At 37.6% G+C, this 16,452-nt stretch overlaps 1 protein-coding gene and 1 pseudogene across 6 annotated transcripts in view; both read right to left on the reverse strand.

Moving 5' to 3' along the window:
• The window catches only part of PIK3C2A (phosphatidylinositol-4-phosphate 3-kinase catalytic subunit type 2 alpha), a 121,412-nt gene that overhangs the window by 23,478 nt on the left and 81,482 nt on the right, over nucleotides 1-16,452 (reverse strand). For all 6 annotated transcript variants that reach the window (NM_001321380.2, NM_001386870.1, NM_002645.4 and 3 more), the window contains 9 exons: nucleotides 12,650-12,761; nucleotides 12,136-12,281; nucleotides 9,734-9,922; nucleotides 9,168-9,261; nucleotides 8,593-8,687; nucleotides 7,439-7,619; nucleotides 4,309-4,413; nucleotides 2,522-2,614; nucleotides 380-509 (listed from right to left, as the gene is read on the reverse strand). In NM_001321380.2, the coding sequence (NP_001308309.1) occupies nucleotides 380-509; nucleotides 2,522-2,614; nucleotides 4,309-4,413; nucleotides 7,439-7,619; nucleotides 8,593-8,687; nucleotides 9,168-9,261; nucleotides 9,734-9,922; nucleotides 12,136-12,281; nucleotides 12,650-12,761 (1,145 nt within the window). The remainder of the gene's footprint in view (nucleotides 1-379; nucleotides 510-2,521; nucleotides 2,615-4,308; nucleotides 4,414-7,438; nucleotides 7,620-8,592; nucleotides 8,688-9,167; nucleotides 9,262-9,733; nucleotides 9,923-12,135; nucleotides 12,282-12,649; nucleotides 12,762-16,452) is intronic.
• Nucleotides 5,600-5,711, reverse strand: RNU6-593P (RNA, U6 small nuclear 593, pseudogene; annotated as a pseudogene).

The raw sequence follows: 16,452 nt of genomic DNA on the forward strand, positions 1-16,452 counted from the left end.
AGCTATTCTCCCATCTCAGCCTCCTAAGCAGCTGGGATTACAGGGGCACGCCACCACACCTGGCTAATTTTTGCATTTTTAGTAGAAACAGGGTTTCACCATGTTGCCCAGGTTGGACTCAAACTCCTGACCTCATGTGATCCACCCACCTTGGCCTCCCAAAGTGCTGGGATTACAGGCATGAGCCACTATGCCCGGCCACTAAGTTATTTTTCAAAGAGACTTAATTATGAGCAACTGAATCAATAAAGTAACACTGGATTAAAATAAGAAACAACTGTGATACCAGGGTATCTGCATCAGGATGTTTACGGCAGGTACACTTTAAGCTAAGTTCAAGGAAAAAAATAAGACATCAAGACACAGCTAATAAACTTACCTCGATCTCTGCCAGTTGAGAGACATTTGAAAATTACCATCCTCAGATCTAGTCCTTCTTTAAGCCAGATCTTATCCATAATCTTTATCATCTGTAAAGCTAACATATCTTGCCGAAGATCTTCACCAACCTTGAAATCAAGGAAACAAAATGAAACTTGTACATCTCCAAAAGACTTAACAGATTACATACTATGAAAGCTGTAATCCCAGCACTTTGGGAGGCCAAAGTGGGCAGAACACCTGAGGTCAGGAGTTCGAGATCAGCCTGGCCAACATGGTGGAAACCCCGCCTCTACTAAAAACACAAAAATTAGCTGGGCATGGTTGCACACACCTATAAAATGAACTGCCTTTTTATTTTTCTGCAGCATTCTAGGGAAAGGTACTTAACCTCTTCATATCTCAGTTCCCTGAACTGTACACTTTAAAAGGTTCAGTTTTATGGTATGTGAATTATATTCAATTATTTATTTATTTATTTATTTATTTTTTGAGACTGAGTCTTGCTCTATCACCCAGGCTGGAGTGCAGAGGGGTCATCTCGGCTCACTGCAATCTCCGCCTCCTAGGTTCAACTGATTCTCCTGCCTCAGCCTCCTGAGTAGCTGGGATTATAGGTGCCTGCCACCACACCTGGCTAATTTTTGTATTTTTAGTAGAGATGGGGTTTCACCACGTTGGCCAGGCTGGTCTCGAACTTCTGACCTCAGGTGATCTGCCTGCCTCAGCCTCCCAAAGTGCTGGGATTACAGGCATGAGCCACCATATGTGGCCTATATTCAATTTTCTAAAAAGGCAACATGGAGAATCTGTGGGATGATGAAATGTTCTACATTTTGACTGTATCAATGCCAATATCCTGATTGTGATACTGCACTACAGTTATACAAGATATTACTATGAAGAAGAGTACACAGGATTCCTCTGTACAGTTTGTTACAATTGCCTATGAATCTATAATTATCTCAAAATGAAAAGTTTACTTAAAAAAATTAACCCCCCAAAATGAATTACTTTTTAACTAAAACTTGAATAAGTTTTCATTTTCTTTAAACTGGATAAAATAATTTAAAAACACATAATAAGGAATACATTCTGAGACTAGCCAAGAAAATTATGGAAAAGAATAAGGAGAATTTGCCTTAAAAAATATTAAAACTTGGCTGGGCATGGTGGCTAACGCCTGTAATCCCAGCACTTTGGGAGACCGAGACGGGCAGATCACCTGAAGTTAGGAGTTCGAGACCAGCCTGGCCAACATGGTGAAACCCTGTCTGTACTAAAAATAAAAAAATTAGTTGGACGTGGTGGCACGTGTCTGTAATCCCAGCTACTTGGGAGGCTGAAGCAGGAGAACTGCATGAACTAGGGAGGTGAAGGTTGCAGTGAGCTGAGATCACGCCATTGCACTCCAGCCTGGGCAATAAGAGCAAACTCAGTCTCCAAAACAAAAAAAAAAAAAAAAAAATTCAAAAAAAAAAAAAACTTAACACATAAAATTCTTGTATTCAAAACAGATATTACTGGTTTAGAAAAAGGCACCTACATCAATAAAACCAAATATAGAGTTCAAAACCAGATGTGAGTACAAAGGAATTTATTATATATATATCAAAAGTGGTTCAAGTAGAAGCAATCTTTATGAACCTCCACGTGTCCAACTCATTGAATTAAACTAAAATTCTTCATCCTGTCTTCAAAATGTACAAATCATGATCAAAACACGTAAAATTTTTGGCTGGGCGCGATGGCTCACACCTGTAATCCCAGCACTCTGGGAGGCCGAGGTGGGTGGATCACCTGAGGTCAGGAGTTCAAGACCAGCCTGGCCAACATGGCGAAACCCCGTCTCTACTAAAAAATACAAAAATTAGCCGGGCATGGTGGCAGGTGCCTGTAATCTCAGCTACTTGGGAGGCTGAGGCAGGAGAATCACTTGAACCCAGGATGTGGAGGTTGCAGTAAGCCGAGATGGTGCCACTGCACTCCAGCCTGAGCGTCAGAACAAGACCCTGTGTAAAAATAAATAAATAAATAATAAAAAAAATATTAAACAAAATCACCTTTGCAATTTTGGGAAAGTAATTTGATAAAAAAATTTCTAAATTGCCATTAAAAAACAGTAACATTATTTACTCACCTTAAACATGACATTAATTTCTTCTCCCATAGGGTCAGCATTCACCATTGTGACTTTTAGGGGGACAGCATTAGAACTGAAGAAGGAACACGACTGCAAATACAACATGTTAAGCATTAGAAAGATAAATGAAAATGGATTTAGAATTTTTTTTTGTCCTACGCATTTCCCCTTTCACTTCTTCCTTTGTGTCTTGTTTTTAGATTTATTTTTTATTTTTATTTCTGTTAGAGACAGCGTCTTGCTTTGTTACCCAGGCTGGAATGCAGTGATGCAACCATAGCTTCCCACAACCTCTAACTCCTGGGCTCAAGTGATCCTCCTGCCTCAGCCTCCTGAGTAGCTGGGACTACAGGCATGCACCAACATGCCCAGCTAAACACCTGTTCCTTTGAATTACAGCAAATGAAATAACACATGAGAATTGCTTTTTCATTTTATTTATTTATTTTTTTGAGATAGAGTTTTGCTCTTGTTGCCCAGGCTGGACTGCAATGGTGCAATCTCAGCTCACTGCAATCTCTGCCTCCTGGGTTCAAGCAATTCTCCTGCCTCAGCCTCCCGAGTAGCTGGGATTACAGGCACCCGCCACCACACCCGGCTAATTTAGAATTGCTTTTCTAGACTCTCTGGAAGATAACAGATACGCAAAAATACTTTTTGAAACTTAAACATAGCATATATGACTAAAATATCATCTCGCTAGGCAGAGAAGCAAAAACTTGAGACACAAACTTTAAAGTTTGAGCTTTGTAAATGTCTTAATCCATCAACAGAACACAACGTCTTGTGATATCCTTTTCCTTCTTCTAAATCACTGTGATGTGAGACCTCCATTCTTCTGTTTATGGTACTATTGTAATTAATTAGCCATGGAAGTATTCACAAAAACTAAAAATTTTATTAGCAATGATCAAATCTTACTTTTAAAATGAAACCGACTAAAAAGCTAATTTAAGACAGTGAGACCAGCTGGGCATGGTGGCTCACCTGAGGTCAGGAGTTCGAGACCAGCCTGGCCAACACGGCGAAACCCCGTCTCTACTAAACATACAAATATTAGCCAGGCGTGGTGGCAGGCACCTGTAATCCCGGCTACTTGGGAGGCTGAGGCAGGAGAATCACTTGAACCTGGGAGGCGGAGGTCGCAATGAGCCGAGATTGCACCATTGCATTCCAGCCTGAGTGACAGAGCAAGACTCCATCTCAAAAAAAAAAAAAAAAAAGGCCAGGCATGGTGGCTCATGCCTGTAATCTCAGCATTTTGGGAGGCCGAGGTGGGCGAATCACGAGGTCAGGAGTTCAAGACCAGCCTGGTCAACAAAGTGAAACCCCATCTCTACTAAAAATACAAAAATTAGCTGGGCATGGTGGCGTGTGCCTGTAGTCCCAGCTACTCAGGAGGATGAGGCAGGAGAATCGCTTGAACTTGGGAGGTGGAGGTTGCAGTGAGCCAAGATCGCACCACTGCACTCCAGCTTGGGCAAGAGTGAGACTTTGTCTCAAAAAATAAATAAATAAATAAATAAATAAATAAATAAAAAGGTGAGACCAATTTAAAAAAATGAAGCCCAAGGCAGTAAATAATTTTATACTTTTTTTTTCCCAGGAATGGTGGTTAGGTAAAAAAATATGCTAAGATAAATATGGATCCTAATCACAACCATCCATGCTTATAACCAACCTGTGCAGGTTTTACCTTCATTTGCCTTAAGCATACCTGCCCATTTGCCTTCTTCCTATTATTTTCAAATGTAATATGAACTTATAAGTATTTTATGTGTCACCTTAATATTTAATTCTTTTGCCACTAGACTTGGCTTGAGAGGGAGACGGCATTTATTTTTCTGAAAAAAGGACTGTACTCGTTCCATACTTCTTTGGAGAACAACCTATAGAAAGAGATGTGATACTGTAAGTACATAATGAAAATGAAGATCTATTTTTCAGACAAGTTATGCTGTGGATACAATTTATAAAATGCCCAGTTGTCAAACGGTGAAAAAAAGGTTGTTACTAAAGAGAGTTAATTTTTACTATAAAACTAGAATGGCCAAAGGCTATAAATATAGTGGGCAAAGGTACATTTGGCCAACCAATGTATACGAAAATGTTAAAGCTCACTAATAGTCAAAGAAATAGAAGCCAAACAAAAATGAATGCAGTTTTTCACCTATCAGATGAAAATTTAAAACAACATCCTGTGTTAGGAAACGATTTCATAACTTATTGGTAGGGAGAGAGGTGTACACAGGTGTAGCTTCTTTTGTAGAGCAATGTAACAACTATTATAACTAAAAATACATGTCGCTCTTGACTCAGCTATTTCACCTGTAGGAATTTTCTGAAAGAAATACTAGCAAAGAAATAAAAATGTACACACCAACCAAAGTTCATTGCAGTATTGTTTAGTAAAGAGAAAACAGGTAAACAATGTATATAGAGGTAATAGTTTATAATTAAGATTGTATGTAATATTTCCCCAAATTAATCTATAATTCTTATCAAAATTCCAACTGCCTTTTTGCAGCAATGGATACACGGTTCCTAAAATTCATATGAAATTGCAAGTGTCCCCTGAATAGCCAAAAATAATAATGAAAAAGAACAAAGTAGGAGGACTTACATTGTCCAATTTCAAAACTTACTATAAAACTATGGTAATTAAAAAAAGTATAGGCTGGGTGGATGGCTCATATCTATAATCCTAGGACTTTGGGAGGCCAAAATGGGAGGACTGCTTGAGCCCAGGAGTTCAAGACCAGCCTGGGAAACATGGCAAAACCCTGTCCCTACAAGAAAAAAAAAAAAAAAAAAAAAAGACAGGCATGGTGGCAAACACCTGTGGTCCCAGCTACTTGGGAGGCTGAAGCGAGAAGATCACTTGAGCCCAGGAGGCTGAGGCTGTGGTGAATTGTGATCACACCACTGCACTCCAGCCTGGGCAACAGAGAGACCTCATCTCAAGGAAAAAAAGGAAAAAAAAAAAAAAAACAAATATAGCATATGGATAGACATATATGATATAGAATTGAGAGTCTAGAAAAAAACCCATATATGTGGTCAACTTTTTTATTTAAAAATTTTTAACAGAACACTTCACGAATTTGCATGTCATCGTAGTGTAGGGGGCATGCTAATCTTCTCTGTATCATTCCAATTTTAGTATATGTGTTACCGAAGCAAGCACAGGGTCAACTGATTTTTGACAAGTACGCCAAAACCATTCAAGAGGAAGGAGGGGGTCTCTTTAACAAATGGTGCTAAGACAACTGGATAACCTCATTCAAAAGAATAAAGTTGGGCCTCTACTTCATACCACAACGGATCAAAGACCTAAACATAAGAGCTAAAACTAGAAAAGCTTAGAAGAAAACACAGGTGTACATCTTTATGGCATTAGATTTAATGATGGATTCTTAGATATGACACTAAAAGCATGAGCCACAAAAGAAAAAAATAGATAAACTGGACTTCATCAAACTTAAACATTTTTGTATTAATATATTAAAGGACACTATTAAGGAATTAAAAAGACAACTGCAGAATGAAAAAAATATTTGCAAATAGTGTATGTGATAAAGGTCTAGTATCCAAAATATATAAATAACTCTTACAACTCAACAACAAAAAAGACATTCCAATTTAAAATGGACAAAGGACTTTGAATAGATATTTCTCCAAAGAATACAAATGGCCAATAAACATATGAGAATGTGCTCAATATCATTAGTCACTAGGGAAATTCAACTCAAAACCACAACGAGATACTGCTTCACACCCACTAGAATGGCCATAATCAAAAAACAGGAAAAAAAACAATGTTGGTGAGGATGTGGTGAAACTGGAACCCTTCTATATTGCTGGTGGGAATGTAAAGTGATATAGCTGCTACAGACAATAATTCTATGATTCCCCAAAAAGTTAAGCACAGAACTACCATATGACCTAGCTCTGCCATTCCTAAGTGGAAACAGTTGTTTAAACACAAATTTATACATGAATATTCATAGCAGTATTCTTTTTTTTTTTTTGAGACAGAGTCTTGCTCTGTCGCCCAGGCTGGAGTATAGTGGCTCGATCTCGGTTCACTGCAAGCTCCGCCTCCCGGGTTCACGCCATTCTCCTGCCTCAGCCTCCCGAGCAGCTGGGACTGCAGGCGCCCGCCACCATGCCTGGCTAATTTTTTGTATTTTTAGTAGAGACGGGGTTTCACCATGTTAACCAGGATGGTCTCGATCTCCTGACCTCGTGATCTGCCCGCCTGGGCCTCCCAAAGTGCTGGGATTACAGGCATGAGCCACCACGCCTGGCCAGCAGTATTATTATTAATAGTCAAAAAGTGGAAACAACCCAAATGTCCACCAACTGATGAATGTTTAAACCAAATGTGGTATATCCACACAATGGAATATTATTCAACCAAAAATGGCATGTAGTACACATGCTAGAACACAGATGAACTCTGAAAACTTTATGCTAAGTGAAAGAAACTAGACAGAAAAGTCCATGAAGTGTCCAGAATATCCATATAGAAGTATAGACGTATCCATATTGACAGAAAACAGTTTAGTGGCTGGGAGGGGAAAATGGGGACATGCTTTCTTTTTGGTGTGATGAAAATACTGTGGACTTTGATAGTGGAGGTAAAGGAATTCAAGAAAACAATTTTCATCAGAAAGGAATAAATAAGCATGGAAATAAATAAGCATGGGAAAATCACTGATTTTAATAGGTTGTGAAATATGTTCCTATATATTTTAAACAATCTTTGAATTTATCTGCCCCAAATAGCATGGGTATAGTTAGAGTTCTACTGGGAGTCTACCAATAAAGAATAGCAACTTAATTAGTCAGCACCATAAAGATCCTTCCTTTAACATTAACACATTTATATTACCTTTTATGGGTACATACCTGTCTGGCTGATCCACTAGCCTGCCTTACTTTTTCTGCTACTCCTCCTAAAAGCTGTACAAGTTTCGTCTGTTTTAGAAGTTCTTCTCTAAGTCGTTTTCCTCCTACTGACAGGAGAGCACCCAAAACATGTTCGTATCGGGTACTAAACTGTACATCATGCAGGGCATCTTTGAGAAGCCTAATACAGCAAAATATTTATGTTAGTCACGTCTTGGTTTTTTTTTTTTTTTTTTTTTTTTGAGACGGAGCCTCACTCGTCACCCAGGCTGGAGTGCAGTGGCGCCATCTCGGCTCACTGCAAGCTCTGCCTCCCGGGTTCACGCCATTCTCCTGCCTCAGCCTCCCGAATAGCTGGGACTATAGGCGCCCGCCACCACACCCGGCTAATTTTTTGTATTTTTAGTAGAGATGGGGTTTCACTGTGTTAGCCAGGATGGTCTCGATCTCCTGACCTTGTGATCCGCCCACTTCGGCCTCCCAAAGTGCTGGGATTACAGGCGTGAGCCACCATGCCCGGCCATGTTAGTCACTTCTAAGAACTAGGTGAACCTCTCTGAAAAATAACAAGTTCAATTTTTTTTTCTTTTTTTTTTTTTGAGACCAGGTCTGGCTCTGTTGCCCAGGCTGGAGTCCAGTGGCATGACCTTGCCTCACTGCAACCTCCACCTCCCAGGCTCGAGCAATCCTCCCACCTCAGCATCCCAACTAGCTGGGACCACAGGCACATGCCACCATGTTCGGCTAATTTTTTATATTTTTGGTAGAGATGAGGTTTCACCATGATTGTTAGGCTGGTCTTAAACTCCTGAGATCAAGCGATCCACTAGCTTCAGCCTCCCAAAGTGCTGGGATTACAAGCATGAGCCACCACGCTTGGCCTCAATTTTTGATAACCAGAAATGTATTTTAAGCTATATAAGCAAGTCGAAACCCATTCATTATTACAGAGCTATAAGACACCAAATTTTTGCAATGAGGGTTTTCAAATTTTTGCATTAGAGGGTAAATTTAGCTCCTTTAAAATAATACCTTCAATAAAATATCTTGTATCCACAATAAGTAGTGTGGCATACCATTTAGACTTACAGGGTATGCCATTTCTATAAATTCTAGGAATGGAAATACGGTAATCAATAAAATTTAAATCTTACCAATATAAATTGTGTGCTATCTGGATATTTCCCAATGCCCTGGACAAAAGGAATTGCACTAATGAACTATTCAAGTAAATTTCATATTTCAAAGCCTACAGTAAAAGAAAATAAGAATTATTAGTGGTCTAACCCATACTAAATTGTTCCAATAAAACTATCAAAAGAGAAACTATATAAAGCAAGTATTACTCTTACTGATGAAAGATGATACTTATAAAAATTAAATAGATGAATTAACCTATGCCAAACTAATTTAAATCAAACACAAAAGTATAGAGTAACATTCATTAGCTATGTTGAACTCACCAGTAAAGAAAAATCAAGGAAAAGCTCAAGTCTGGTTTGTTCTAAAAAGTCTGAAAACTAAAAATACAGGTGCCTATATACAATATTCAAATGGGGCAGATGACAATAGTGGGGAAAAAATTCACACTAAATCCAAATGCAATGCCCCTCAATGTTCCCACACTAAAAAACGACTTTTAATCTAAACAGAATGGGGATCCCTTAGCAAGTTCCCATAAAAAACTAGAGTGAAAGTATAAAGGGAGGTAATCTAGTAAAAAACTCACTTGTACAAACTGTGGAAGAAGATCTGTTAGCTCATCATCACTAATGGCCTCAATCCAGGTCACAGCTAGGGATCTTACTTCCTGATCAGCAAATCTAGAAGATTACCATAAAACCAAGATTGGACAGTGATTTCTTTCCAGTGAAGCTGTATTTTTTGAAAACACAATCTCAATCTGGTCCTGACAAAGAACACTAAGATATCTCTTTTATTCAAAAGCAATGTATTTCTTCTTTTTGTAAGAAGACAATCTTATTGTGCTATACAGATTCAATTTAGGGATTATTTAGGAATCTTAAGTTTATGAAAATTAATTCTGGCCCACATCATAAAAATATAAATTATTCAAAATTTACAACCTAACCCTTCCTTTAGGCTAGTTTTAAAGGACATGCAATGCTTTATTGACAACTTCAATGCAGAAGATATGTTTGTATAAATATACATTTACACATTTGGATTATATTGAATTGCTTTCATGTTAAAAGGAAAGGAAATACTTCTGGCAACATACCTTACTGGAAAAACTGACAATAAAACAAGAGCAAATAAATGTATTTGACTTACTTTGAATCAAGAAGTTCCAATGCAATTAGTGGGTACAATGCAGGCCACTGGTGAAGCAATGAGTAAGTTTTGGCAAGATTAACCCATTTCCAGTTTGGGGCGCTTGCTAATATTTTAGGAAGACAATTTGGGTGTTTGAAGCAATAATAACGTTTCTCCCATAAAAAAGCTTTATCTTCTTTAGAAAGTCTGCATATATAATAGAATTAAATTACTTCTCAGTGATAACATAATGATATAATCTCAATGATTAAAAATACAAAGAAGAAATTTATTTATTTGGGACAGCTACTTCTTCATAAAATCATTAATACTAATTTGGAATAGAAAAATGCAATGTATGGCAAATGCCAGTAATTAATGCTAATCCGGGAACTGAAAGGAATGATTATGTCTTGATAAAAGATGCTTAGTTAGGAAAATGAAGGATAATTCAGTATAATAAAAATTTATTGAGCTCTAACTAGATGCCAGGCACTAGAAATCAGAGTTGAAAAAGCAGATCCCACCCTAAGAGATAGCAAGGATTTCATCCATTTCGTACAAATAAAATCAAATGCTATGAAAAAAAAAATACTACTATAAAATTTTGGAACATATTTATACAGTTCAAATGAAAAGGACTTGTTTTGAAGATCCTAATTGTTTTAAGCTTAATCACAAATGTTTACGTGAATGAAATATTTCACCATTTTACTATCCATCCATATATATATAAATATATATATACATATACATGCACTGAAATTTATTCATTTCATGTGGAGTAATGAAAAAATTCAAACACTGCAAAAGGTATACAGTGAAATCTCTCTCCTTCTAATTCCCCTTCTAAGAGGCAACCACCTAAGCTTGTATGCTCTTCTAGAGAGTTTATTCATACAGAGGCACACACACGGATATATGTAGATCCTCTTTTTTCCTTTATTTTCGTGGTAATACACTATATACACTATTCTACTCCTGGTTTTCTTCAGCTAACCTATTTTAAAAATTAGTACATACAGCTATAATCTCATTTTTATTTATTTTATTTTTGTTTGAGATGGAGTCTCGCTCTGTCACCCAGGCTGGAATGCAGTGGCACGATCTTGGCTCACTGCAACCTCCGCCTCCCAGGTTCAAGCGATTCTCCTGCCTCAGCCTCCCAAGTAGCTGGGATTACAGGCATGTGCCACCATCTCAGCCTCCCAAAGTGCTGAGATTACAGGTGTGAGCCACCACGTTCAGCCTACAATCTCATTTTTAATAGTTACATGGTTCTCTACCAGATAAATGTACCTTAATTTAATCCCTATTGATGGACATTTCCAATCAATTTTTCTTTTCTTTTCTTTTCTTTTCTTTTTTGAGACAGGGTATTGCTCTGTTGCCCAGGCTGCAGTGCAGTGATGAGATCATAGATCACTGCAGCCTTGACCTCCTGGGCTCAAGCAATTCTCCCACCTCAGCCTCCTGAGTCGCTAGGACTACAGATGCACAACACTGTGCCTGGCTACTTTTAATTTTTTTGTAGAGACAGGGTCTCACTATATTGTCAGTGTTGGTCTCCAACTCCTGGGCTCAAGCAATCCTCCCACCTCAGCCTTCCAAAGTGTCAAGAGTACAGGCATGAGCCACCACGCCCAGTCTCCGAACAGTTTTTCAATAATCCAAATAAGTACTGCAATGAATATTCTTGACTCCATAAGCAAATATAAAAGAGTTTTATATAACTGCAAATGGCACTGCTGGGACAGAATATACACATTATAACCTTGTAGATTTTGCCAAATTGCTCTCCAAAGGAGACATAGCTTTTTATACTTCTGCAAATAGTATAATTCCCATTTTATGTATCCTTATCAACACTTTTCACAAGGTATTTTAATTTTTGCCACTCTGATGTGTTAGATGGTATCTTGAATTAATTTATATTTCCCTGATTACTGAGAAATTGAACATCTTTTCAGATTGTTTAAAAGTATTGTATTTTTCTAAAAAAATTGCTTGTTCCTACTTAGTCTCCTTGACTACTGAGTTCTTGGTCTTAATCTTATTAATAAGAAAAAGTTCCTTACGGTTAAAAAAATCTCTTGATATGTATTGTAAATATAGTTTCCAGTCTATTGTTTGCCTTTTAAGTAAAAAGGTTTGACTTGACAAATTTCTAAAATTTTATGCAGTTATGTAGTCTTTTTATATAATTTTAAAAATAACTTAAATACTAGCTGGCCCTCGAGACAAAAGTTTTGTAGATTATTAAAAAAAAAAAAAAGGAAAAAAAGTAAGTTAAATAGAAAACTTTCCACACCAAGAAAGCTGATAAATCATGAACAGAATCAGGTTATTTAATGTAAGTCCTAACTTGACTTTTACATTACAGGAGATACTTAGCCCAAAACAGAATAAACAGAACATACCCAAGTGATGAGTCTTTATGAAGAATATCAAGAAGTTTCCCTTTTATATCATTCTCTAGTGTTTCTAAGTTATGTTGCTGTATAATGCTTCTGTCAACTTGAGGAGTTGTATAAATAATATCAAATGCAGGAGAAGGAAAATCAACCTTTAAAATTTAACAGAAATTGATCAAATTACAGTCTACGTATTTGCCACATTAACCTCTTTGTCTTTAAGAAAACAGATTTTTCTTAGCAATCGGGGCATATTTACATTGAATATTAAATTAATGCTTCTTGTTGCAATTGATTACCATTGTTGGTAATTCTCAACAGCACATACATATTTCTTGGGATAAGTACAGTGCATGTTTTACTGCTTCTCAGAAATATTGATATTAAAATAGAAGATAGATCCTGAGACTAAAACAAGATCAGTTAGGTTTCTTTAACAACCCAAATCATGGTATACACACACACATTTTATGAAGAAATTTAAATGTACACCTCTCTACATGTCAAGAAGTACCATTACCTGTAGCACTATTCTTTCCATGACATATCCTTTTTTGGTAACTGTTCCAGGAACAGAATTTGTATGTGATGAAGTCCAAAGATATAGAAGTTTAGTTCCACATGTTAAAAACCTTCACGGATGTAAAAATAATAATGTGATTTTCATTTTAAAAATCAATTCAAAATTTACAACACATGTAATGAATTTGAAAAGTTAGTATGAGATCAACTAAATAAAAAGGATATCTTTAAGAACATATCAGAAGGATTCACTCTCCACATTGTACTGAAACTTTTCAGGTGTAGGGTAAATGTATTGAAATGTAGGGTGGGAACAAAGAGAGGGAGAATTAAAGGACATTATCTTGGGGAAAATGGTGTTGAGGACAGAACACAAAAAAGGTAAGGACTCAGAAAACAACTTCTAGAAATAGGAAGTTTAAGAATAGTCTTTGAAGATTTTCTACAAAGAAATATATCTCAAGGTGGTGGTTTGGATTACAGAACTGCTTCCTGACTTTAATCATTAGATCAAAAATACAAGCCAAAGAAAACAAAACACGTTTTTTTGTTTTGTTTTGTTTTGAGACAGGGTCTTGCTGTCACCCAGACTGGAGTGTAGTAGCACAACTATGGCTAAGTGCAGCCTTGACCTCCCTGGGCTCAGATGATTGTTCCATTGCAGCCTCCCAAGTAGCTAGGACTATAGGCACGTGGCACCATGCTCAGCTAATTCTTGTTTTTTTTTTTTTTTTTTGTAGAGAAGGGGTTTCGCCATGTTGCCCAAGCTCGTCTTGAACTCCTGAGGCTCATATGATCTGCCTGTCTCAGCCTCCCAAAGTGCCGGGATTACAGGCATGAGCCACCGCACCTGGCCAGATATGAGAAGTTTTATCTGTTTCCTAGACTAGGGGTCTGCCAACTTTTTCTATAAAGAGCCAGAGAGTAAATATTTTAGGCTTTGTGGACCATAAAGTCTCTGCTGCAAGACTAAATTTTCCTGTTGTAGTTCAAATTTGCCATGAACAACATATAAATGTATATGCATGCTATGCTCTAACAAACTGTATTTGTATTTATAAAAAGAAGCAATGGGCCAAGTATGCTGACCCTTGCCCTAGACTACTAATTTATGGCCTACTCAATCAAAACATTCTTTCAAAGATATTGACATATCTTTACACAGAAGAAATTTCTGAAAACAACGTAAGATATACAAAAGCAGAAAACTATAGTTTGTCAAATCTTTGTTCATTTTATTCAAACAGCAAATATCTTTACCAAAACTAGACTCCAGTTTTAAAATTTTCTCTTGACAAACAGGCTTTGAATCTTTGATACCTTATAATCCATCATATATATATATATATGGGGATGGGCCTCACTCTGTCGCCCTGGTTGGAATGCGCGGTGTGATCATAGCTCACTGAAGCCTTGAACTCCTGAGCTGCTGGAATTACAGGTGTGAGCCACCACACCGGGCTATAGTCTGTTATGTCTAAGAACCACCCTTACTTCCAACTAGACTTAAGGCAAATCCTGATCATATTATTTCATCTACAAATACTGTTATATATCTCTAAAAAATAAAGTTTCCTGTAATAAGTACAATACCATTATCCCTCCTAAAATAATTAACAATAATTACTTAAGACCATAAAATATCTAGTCACTATTCAAATTTCTCTGATTGTCCCATAAATGATGTTTTTTAAAAACAGTTGGTTTGCTTAAAACAAGATCCAAGCAAGGCCTAACACTTGCATTTGGATGTCTTTTTTTTTTTTTTTTGAGACGGAGTCTTGTTCTGTCGCCCAGGCTGAAGTGCAGTGGCACAATACATTTGGATGTCTTTTTAAGCATCTTTTAATTCAGGGTCAGCAAACTCCAACCTGCCTTTACAGAGTTTATTTATAGCCACATGTAAACAAACTGGCCTTCACACCTGGCTTTGTAAATAAACTTTTACCAGACATAGCCATGCTCATTTGTTAATGTACTGTCTACGACTGCTTTTGCATTTGTGACAGAGTCTATATGGTCTGCAAAGCCTAAACTACTTTTATCTGGCACCCTTTACAGAAAAAGTTTGTTAACTCTTGTTTGGTCTCCTTCTCTTTTTTTCTATTTATTTGTTGATGATACCAGGCCTTTTGTTCTGTAGAATTTTCCATATCCTGAATTTTGCTGGTTATACTCCTCTGGTGTCATTTCACATGTCCTCCTGTATTTTCCATAGAGAAGAAGTTAGACCTAGAGGCCTGATTTGATTCAGATTTAGTTCTTTGGCAAGAATACTTACTATTTTGCAGTTGGTATTGTATACTACTTCTAATTCTATCAAATTAAAAGGTACACACTCTTTGGGTTATCTCTCTGTGATGTTACTATTGATCAGTTTAGTTCTAGTGCCATCAGTTTAAGCCATCAATTATGAAGTTGCAGAAAAACTATTTAATGGTTTTAGGAAGGCATTTTCACAGATTTTAAGGTTTTAAAACAAAAAACAAAAAAGGCGGCACTGATGATCACTGCTTACATCAATGGTTCTCAACTGGGAGTGATTTTCCTTCCAGCAGACATTTGGTAATTTGGAAATAATTTTGGTTGTAAACTGAGGGGGACAACTGGCATCTAATGGGTAGAATCTAGGGATGCCGCTAAACATCCTACAATGCACAGAACAGTCTTCCACAACAAAAAATTATTTGGTCTGAAATGTCAATACTGCCAAGATTGAGAAACCCTGGCCGAAATCTATTATTTCAGCATGGGTTGCAAAATTATAATATTCTAATTCTATCATTCCTTCTGCATCTATTATCTAAAGATTTTCACTGTTTTTTTTTGAGATGGAGTCTCGTTCTGTCGCCCAGGCTGGAGTGTAGTGGTGCAATTTCGCCTCACTGCAAAACTCCACCTCCCGGGTTCAAGCAATTCTCCCGTCTCAGCCTCCCAAGTAGCTGGGACTATAGGCACGAGCCACCATACCTGGCTATAACTTTTTTGTATTTTTAGTAGAGACAGGGTTTCGCCATATTGGCCAGAGTTGTCTCAAACTCCCGCCTTGGCTTCCCAAAGTGCTGGGATTACAGGCATGAGCCACCATAACGGGCTAGCTAAAGATTTTCTATAAAAAAAACTTTGTCATATCAATTACTGCTAGGCATGGTGGCTCACACCTGTAATCCCAGCACTTGGGAGGCTAAGGCAGGTGGATCACTCGAGGCCAGGAGTTCGAGACCAACCTGGCCAACATTGCAAAACCCTGTCTCTACCCAAAACACAAAAATTAGCCAGGCATGGTAGCACACACCTGTAATCTCAGCTACTCTGGAGGCTGAGGCATGAGAATCACTTGAACCTAGGAGGCAGAGGTTGCAGTGAGCCAAGATCATGCCATTGCACTCCAACCTGAGTGACAGAGTGAGACTCTGTCTCAAAAAACAAAAACAAAAACAAAAAAAACTTTGCCACCTCAATTATTTAGTAACCCTCAGAAATAACTGTAAAGGAAAGACAGGTTAACTGCTTAATTCTGTTTATATGCCAGTTTTCAGAAAAATTAGTTAAGAACTCATTTGTGCTGGACATGGTAGCTCACGCCTATAATCTGAGCTACCGGATGGGATCGGATGGCGGGAAGATGGATCACTTGAGGCCAGGAGTTTGAGACCAGCCTGGGCAACAGTGAGACTCCATCTCTACAAAAAAAAAGTTTTTTAAAAAAGAACTCATTTGTTATTAAGGCTGAATGAAATGCCTTTGAGTCATTTGGCTTCAATAATAGTGACCATTAGGTCATATAAGATTGCATCTTCA

The sequence above is a fragment of the Homo sapiens genome, chromosome 11 (genome assembly GCF_000001405.40).
Source record: "Homo sapiens chromosome 11, GRCh38.p14 Primary Assembly".
Lineage (NCBI taxonomy): Eukaryota > Metazoa > Chordata > Mammalia > Primates > Hominidae > Homo > Homo sapiens.